Source organism: Homo sapiens, chromosome 2 (genome assembly GCF_000001405.40).
Source record: "Homo sapiens chromosome 2, GRCh38.p14 Primary Assembly".
Lineage (NCBI taxonomy): Eukaryota > Metazoa > Chordata > Mammalia > Primates > Hominidae > Homo > Homo sapiens.
The window spans coordinates 98,722,341-98,731,133 of NC_000002.12; the positions used below are offsets into that span (position 1 = coordinate 98,722,341).

The 8,793-nt window shown below is 42.4% G+C and overlaps 1 protein-coding gene across 1 annotated transcript in view; it reads right to left on the reverse strand.

The window, feature by feature from the left end:
- Positions 1–8,792, reverse strand: part of MGAT4A (alpha-1,3-mannosyl-glycoprotein 4-beta-N-acetylglucosaminyltransferase A) — a 112,027-nt gene extending 103,235 nt beyond the window's left edge. Inside the window, exons 1-2 of the mRNA NM_012214.3 lie at positions 8,708–8,792; positions 3,899–4,227 (exon numbers count right to left, since the gene is read on the reverse strand). Coding sequence (NP_036346.1) covers positions 3,899–3,992 — 94 coding nt within the window. The 5' untranslated portion in view covers positions 3,993–4,227; positions 8,708–8,792. The remainder of the gene's footprint in view (positions 1–3,898; positions 4,228–8,707) is intronic.

The window sequence follows — 8,793 nt, forward strand, 5'->3', positions numbered from 1 at the left end:
TTCTGTGTACGTGAAGCAACCCCACTGTGAAGTGATCTGCCACAACACGGGTGAACATTGCATAGATTACACTAAGTGAAAAAAGCCAGTCACAAAAGACCACATACTGTATGATTACATTTATCTGAAAATCCAGAATAGGGAAATCTATAGAGACAGAAAAATTAGTGGTTGCCTAACCCCTAGGAGGGGAGGGGAGGGAGGTAGGGATTAGGACAGTAATAGCTAAAGGGTATAGGATTTCTTTTTGAGGTGATAAAAATGCTCTAAAATTGACTGTGGTGATGGATACATATCTGTGAATATACCAAAAACCGACTGATTGTACACTTTAAATGGATGAATTGTATAGTATGTAAATTATATCTCAAGCTGTTTAAAACTGTTTAAATACATTTTTGCTGAAGGAATCAATCATGTATCTAACAAATGTTTACTACATGTTTACTAAGCATCACTGGATCAGGCACTGCAAAAATAATACCAGTCTCTGTCCCCATGGACAGGGACCCGTGACTGCTTCATCAATCTCACCCAGGGTCTAGATTGCGCCTGACCACAGCAGGAGGTCCATCAGGAGCCATGCTCCTCCTGGCAAGACAGACACGTAACTACTCCTGCCCCACTCTCACAACACCCACCTACAACTGTCCCAATTTGTCCATTCCACATAATTGGAAATCTGCCTCATTTTTATGTGGGAATCCAGTATACCCCGCTGAAACTGTTACTCTGTCTTGCACCACAGCTTCCCTGGCAGGATTCCTGAGATACTCCCCAACTTATGCCAATCCCATGGACCAGCTCATGTATTCTTTCAAGTGGTGAATGAGGACTATGTCAAAGCAGTACTTCTAGGAACTGTACTTGTAAGATTCTCCCCAGGGCCTGAAAGCTTAAGGAGATGAATAACTCCTCCCTTCTCAGGCCCAGTCCCAAGGTGCAACTTGCGCCAGCAGCATGCGCCAGCAAGATAGCAGAAGCAGGAGGAGAGCCGGCCGGAAGACACGTACCCCTGAAGATTGAGAGAGGGGTCACCTGGGTACAACGTAGCAGTTACGTCAGACTAGGACACTTCTTATTTACAGGAGACTATAAAACCTTTGCCCCATCCTTGCTTGGGGCTGACACCATTTTAGGCCTCAGCCTGCCTGCTCATTAAAACAGCATGTTGCTCCACACCTCCTCGTGTTGTCTGTTGGTGCGCTGTTGGGGTTTGAATCCATACAAGAACCTTGCAGTACTGTGATTACCAGCTAAACACTGAGAGGGCCTGAGTCCTATGTGCTGGTATTAACGAGCATCTCACAATTCCAAAGGATGAATACTCTACTCCCCTTCAGAACTTGTAGCTGCACACGCAGGTCCCTGGACCTGATATGCCCAGTGTTCCCCACTCTGCCTGGCTTGGCCTTCACATTCATCCTTCATATTCTACCTCCTGTGTAAAGCACCTGAAGAATTAGTAGCCTCTGCTTCTGCTTTTCTGAGCAACAGACCAATAGCTAGGAGCATAAGCTCTTGAATGAGGCTGCCTGAATTCAAACTTTAACTCCACTACTTAACATATGACCTTGGTAAGTTTCTCAGTCACTCTGCCTTGGTTTCTCCATTTACAGAAAGGGGATAATATCTCCAATTGTTGTTATGAGGATTAAAATACATATAATACACTTACAGGCAAGCACTGTTATTGTTTCTATCTAACTCTATCTGATGGTAAATTTGTTTACATGCATCTTTCCCTGACCAGTCCCTGAGCTGCTCAAAGGCATAAAATTACTTATTGCTTTTCTTATTAATAGCATATAATATAGGGCTAGGTGCAAGATAGGTACATGTAAGGGACCCATGAATGAATGAAAAAACAACAAAAAAAAACCATTAGTTTAGCAACATCAAAGCTTATAGAAACCACACTTTCAAAATAAAAATCAGAGCACGTGGTTTATGGGTATATTAGAATTGAGTCTCTCAAATCAGGACTTCTCTGGAAAACCCAGGCTGTCTGACTGCCAGAACTATCTAGAAAGAATCCAAATGCCCAACAGTTTGAGTGGCTACAGAAACGATAACATTTAACACAGAAGATTTTATGTAACCATAACCAGAAACCTGTGTTGATACCTGGAAGAGTCTGGAAAAAACACCAAGTAGAAAATCAGAGCAGAAGTTTGCAAAGAAGAATTATGGAGCTATTCAGAGAATGATGATCAAAGTTAACAGACTGTATGTGTGCATCTAACACTGCGTGGAGAAAGAATCTTTATTTTTTTAATTAATTTTCATTCTAAAGACAGCTTAATAATTATGCTTATTATAAGGCCTTTACATAAGAAACAAGGAAAATTAAATGGAGATTCCAAGACTTGCCATCTTTCAAATAAGGCACAGTGAGAAGGGTCAAGTTTCTCCACTACTATAATTCTCTGAATAGGTAAGTTTCCTACAAAAAAAAAAAACCCATATACTTTTCTGCTCATCAACCCTCTTATTTCATAAACAGACTTTTAATAGCCAGTCATTTGTTTTGTTCATGTCAGGGACAATCAATAGTTTGATTAACTATTCAAACTACTTCTTGATTGGCCGGGCATGATGGCCTGCGCCTGTAGTCCCAGCTACTCCTGTGGCTGAGGCACAAGAATTGCCTGAATCCAGGAGGCAGAGGTTGCAGTGAGCCGAGGTCTTGCCACTGCACTCTAGCCTAGGCAACAGAGTGAAACTCTGTCTCAAAAACAAACAAAAACAAAGCACCTCCTGATTAAGCCTTCTCATTTAGTACAATAAAAACATGAATTCTAAAATGTACATATTTGTATATAAAGCAAAAAGGACCTTAGCAAGTTTTTCATTCATTTTCCCCCAAGAGTTCCCCCAAAATTAGAGCCCAACTCAGAGAAAGACAAAGAAGGGGAAAAGACTCTACTTGCTCAAAGCACAGAGCATGTTTTCACTTATATCAGATTTTTAACATATACATGCACATACAGATATATACATATGCAATATGTATATATAGACATGGATGTAAACACACATCAGAAAAAAATAAGGTTACAAAGCAATCTTTTCAGTTGTCTTCATGAGTCAATAAAACAACATCAGCAACAGCAGCTTCAAATAGCCCAGGTGATGACAGATATTCTAACAAACCAAATATGCAACCACCTCAACATTTCCATCTTTCTTCTCATCATCAACATTCCTTAGATTAATCAAAGGAAAGGAGACAAGTAAGAAGTATGGGTAGGAATTTACTTCAAGTAGTTTCTCTTAAAAAAAAAAAAAAGCAAATAAATCCATTATCCTAAAATTATATAAACACGGTTCAACAGTCTAAACATAATTAATTTTTAAAAAATGTTTTAATATTCCAATCAGAATTTCTACTTATCCCTTCTTAAATACTTTTGCCTAAGGAGTAATCTGTCAATGCATGCAGTTTAAATCATTAACTACATAGCACCCAATCATTAGCATAATTAGCATGTAAATCTCACGAAGGCACTAATTGTGTCCTTTTAAGTGTTTTATGCAACACTCGGTACAAGGAAGCTTATTAAACACTTAATTATGTTTAGTAAAAAGAACAAAATGCCAAAACGAAAGTCTTTATTATTCAACTTGGCTGTCTTTTAGAATATAAAACACTGATCAGTATCTGTTTCTCCAAGTACAATTATAAGAAACTGAAAACAAAACAAGCCCCACTGGAATTAGAAATTCTGTGTCCTCTGTCCAAGAATACTGTTTCATTTTTATATCAGAAAGAAACTGCCAGCAGATAGCATGTAACATGCAGATTGCCAGGGTATTTGACCTAAGCATTTAGGCACCTTAACCAAGCAAAAACCCTAGTACATTTCATGCACATTTTCCGAGTCATTTTCCTTACCTTTCCCATTTTGCCATGTAGTATACCAAGACAAAGTAAGGAAGGAAGTGATAAATGCTAAAGCAGTGGCTACAGTTCCATTGCGGAGCCTCATCTCATTTCACCATCACACTGGTCCATATGTTTATGATGACAACAACCAGGACTGTTTTCTTTTTACCCTGAAAGTCAACTGAATGCAGTACTCCTGGCTCTAGGCCAATAAAAATCAATAAGAGAGGTTCATTTCAGATGATCTGCAGGAGGAGCCTAGCAGCAATGCTGTTCACAACTGTACTCGGGATCGTCTTTGCGGTCTTCACACGCTGATGCCTCGGCCTTTTCCCTTCCTATTCAGGGGAAAAGAGAAAGTCAAGCTCATTCGGTAATGCAAAATGTAAGTTTCTTCATTTACTATTCATCATTATAAACAGACTTTTGGCAGGGCTAAATTGCATCTATAAAGATTATCCCTACATCGAAACTACTCATTTAACATACTGGAATTATATGGTCCTTCTCCTCCTGGAAAAAAATACAAAACAGCTTCAAACTATATTCCCTCCTCATTGGTTTTGTTTTGTCTGTAAAAAGAAAGTTATGGTGACTGATTTTAAAGGGAAAAGTGGAGCTCACAGATTCCAAGATGAGAACTCTAATGATCACACAATGGTTCCTGAGTAACATAATCTTCACTCTCTCCAGTTTTCCTATTGCACAATAATAGGAAATTTTTTTAATAAGAAAATTGACAGAATACAATATATAAGGGTCAAAAGACCTGGACCCTTGACCCAGCTCTGTCATTACTTACATGATTTGGGGCATGCCACTTATCTAGGTCTCAAGGTTTCATTCACAAAATGAGGTAACAATCTGTCCTGTGTCCTCTTTCACATATTGTCATAAATTATTAAAAGGTTACAGTTATAACTGCTGTTTATCACTGTCATAAAATAAATGTCGTTTTTCCAGTGACTAACCCACTCCCAGGGTGTAAACTGGAACTATTTAAGCATTTAGAAAATGCAGCAATCCAGCCAGGATACTGTACACCTTAGGCTCTATCACTCTGCATTGCTTTAAATCAAGAAATCTGGGAAATCACCACTGATCGAACAAAGCTGTTGGGAAAAGGGAAAGAAATGAAGTCTTAGAAGTACTTAAGCACAGCATTCAGCATATAATAGGTTCTCAAAAAATGTCAACTGTACTAAAAACCAAACTTTTTTGGTTAATTGAACAACAACAAAACCAGCCAGCTACTGGTTCCAGTCCACTCTATGCATGGTCAGTCTCAATCCCTGGAGGCACGCCAGGCCCTCCAAGATGTGAACAGATTCCTGGTAGCCTCAGGAGGTGCCACAGGATGCACCTGGTAATATACTGACACTGTAGTGGGGGAGTTAATATACCTCGAAAAATGGCCAGCAGTTCCAAGGGAAAATTCTCTCTGGGGAAGAGCACAACCGATTCAAGCAGCCATTTGCAGGCAATTCAGAAATTGCCACCACCACTGCTTCTTAACACTGAACACTACTAGAAATTCCCCCTAGTAAAGAAAGATCACAGGGGCATAGTACTAATAATGACAGCCACTACAACTTATGAAATGTTTCCTATGTGCCTGATCCACCACATGGTTTAAATCTTCACAAAATCGTTCCTATGAGGCAGGCATTATTAACCCTGTTCTACACACAAGGAAATGAATCCAGAGAAAGAACTCGAATTTGTTTGTCTCCAAAGTCCAAGCTCTTAGCTGCTACACTTTCCCTCTCAAATGAGGCCTCCTGCACCTGGCAATATGAAGAGAAGTTCCAGGGATACTCCAAGTATCAGGTAAAACTGCAGAATTATACCCAACTGTAAGTGTAAATTAAAAAAATAAATTATATAACACACACTGATCTACTAAGGAGTAAGTTGCAAAATTCATGGAAATTTTCAAAGTGTATGTTTATACAACTTTAAACAAATCTCCACTTCCTGTAGCTTTTGGCTAATACCTCACCACAACCCTCCACCAAACTATGCCTGTTAACCCTCAGACAGCAGCTCTACCTTCCACATAATATTCTAGAAGCACCTAACCTCTTTTACTACCTGAACACAAAGAGATCTAAAAATATTCTCATGCAGAAGTTATCATTGTTCTCTAAGATTGAACTTATTCACCTTCTACAGTTAAGACAAGTTAACATCAAACATGCCCACGTCTACAGTTTAGAATTAAAATCTTCACAGTGGCCAGGTGTGGTGGCTCATGCCTGTAATCCTAGCACTTTGGGAGGCTGAGGCAGGCAGATTACCCGAGGTCAGGAGTTCAAGGCCAGCCTGGCCAACATGACGAAACCCTGTCTCTATTAAAAATACAAAAATTAGCCAGGAGTGGTGGCAGGTGCCTGTAATCCCAGCTTACTCGGGAGGCTGAGGCAGGAGAATTACTTGAACCTGGGAGGCAGAGGTTGCAGTGAGCCGAGATCACACCACTGCACTCCAGCCTGGGTGACAGAGACTCAGTTTGAAAAAAAAAAAAAACTTCATAGCAAGACTGCTCTAATTGTCTTAAATCAATAAGCACCCAATAATGAATTCTGATTATAAAAACACGGGTGATAATTCTATGAATTATATAACTTGGAACATTAATCCCGGTGTGGCATTATATTAAAATACTTATAACTTTCAGCTGCTATCTACTTAGCCCTATTTTACTTGAGAAAGAATTTTGTTCTAGTAAAAGATCTAAAAAGCATACAGGTTATTAGAGTAAGCACTCAATTCATAATAACGGGGAGGTAGAGCGCACATCATATAGTTAAGGATATTTTAAAAGTTTTACTAAATACAAATAAAGCTTGTAAAAACATTCCGTAGAAATGCATAGAGACAAGTAAATGAACTCTAAAACCAAAGTAAACTATTGATATACTACCCCTAATATATGAAAAAAAAAAAATACTGGATCCAGTAAGTTATGAAACTCTGAAGATACTTACAATAAATTCTACTAGCAAATAAGCCCTGAAATTTTGCAAGAAAAATATGCGTGTTTTACTCAGTAAGAATGTAGTCATACATTTTTAATTAGGGTTTCCCAGCTAATAAGTTTAACTGCACGGCACAAGTGAAGAAACTCTTCGGACAAGAGTAAAACCAAGGATCTACTCACTCTTCAATTATGAGACATAATTCACAGGCTGGCTTGTAAGACACAGGTGACCCACATTTTTATTAGTGTCCACATTTGCAAAAATTTTAATCTAGCCCCTTAATATTCTCGGAGACTATAATCTAACACGTTTGAATCTTTAACAACAACAAAAAAAGGTAGTGGCTAAAATTGCTAGTCATTTCTCCACCCTCCCAAAGGTGAATGGAACTTTCAACTCTAGACATCAGACTGTTTTGTTAGCAATCCTTTAAGGGCTTCAGTCTTCATTTTATTATTGGATACAAAACCTTTACTTATTTTAAAGTGTTCTCTGAAATACTCAATATAGTCCACGGCTGAGAACACTTTGCCGAACGTTTGGCATCTTCCTTAATCAGCATCCCACAGACAGGGTAGAGGTGACTTAAGAATGAAAGGCACAATAATCCCTGATATCTGGAATCAATAAAATCCATGACGTAAGCCTATATAACTTTACACACCACAATTGTGGCAAAATTCATTTATTTGCCATTTATAAACGGGTCAGTAGTTTTCTTTAATACAGCTTACGTAATGTCATCGCCCAGTGCGTTTTCGGGTTTACACGTGTGGGTTAAAGAAATCTATGTCAAGATAACCTGTTCATCAAACTGTTTTTTAAACATTCAGAAAAAGAAACATAAACCACAAAACGCATATTTTTATTCTAAATTTACAGTCTACGTTCCAACGAACGACTGTCATTATCTTTTATCAAATAATCTGTCCAACAGCAAAAGCACAACAGCAAAATACGTGGAAAGCATTCAAAGCATACATTGTGCCTGCTTCTATTTTCCAATGCGGAATGTAGGCAATGAAACCGCTCCAGAGAAACACACTGTTGCGAGGAATAAAGGCGGGTGTGCAAGTGGCTCGACTGCCAGCTCAGAAAAGCTCGCCTCCGAGATGTCACCTGGCACACTTGGTGGAGTCACCGAGACCCAGCCTCAGGGTCCTACTGCAGCTTCCTCATTACGGAGAGAGCTGAGGCCTGGGGAAACGGGGGCTGCTCTTTCACGCGGGCCCCGCAGCCCTTCACTTTGTGTGAAAATTCCCTGCGAAGGCTGCACGGCCGGTCCCCTCGGGAGCAGCCCCTGCCCCTGCGCCTCGGACCGTCCGGCCCCGCCCACCTGCCCCGCGGCCCCCGCGAAAGCGCCGACTCCCGCGCAGCCCCCGGGTCCCACAGGCAGCTGTCCCTCCCCCTCCGCACCCCCCGGATCAGCACTTTGCTCCACTTTCCCCCAAAGTCGCCGAGCCCCGCCACGCCGGGGAGCGCCAGGAACGCACCAGGCGCCGAGCCGGCCGCAGAGAGGGCGCGCGACCCCGAGGGGTGCGCGGTGCGGGGCAGGGACGCTGGGAGGACGGCCCGGCCCGCGCCCCGCCGCCCGCCCCCGAGGCCCAGCCGCTCCCGGAGCCGGCCCCGCGCCCAGAGGCGCCAACAGCTCCCCCGCACAGAGCTCCGGCCGGGCCGCGGCGCAGTAGGCTCCTTTACCAGCAGGTGGATCTCCCGCAGCCCGGGGCCGCCAGCCCGGCCGCCGGCGCCGCCCCCAACTCCCGCGCCCTCCGCGCAGCCGCCCCGCGCCCCCTCCCGCCCCCGCGCGCCGCCGCTGCCGCCGCGAGCCCCTCACCCGCCGCTGGCGTCGCCGTGCTCCCGCGGCTGCCGGCGGAGCTGCTGTAGCCGCCGCCGCCGCTGCCGCCGCCGCTGCGGGCCGCC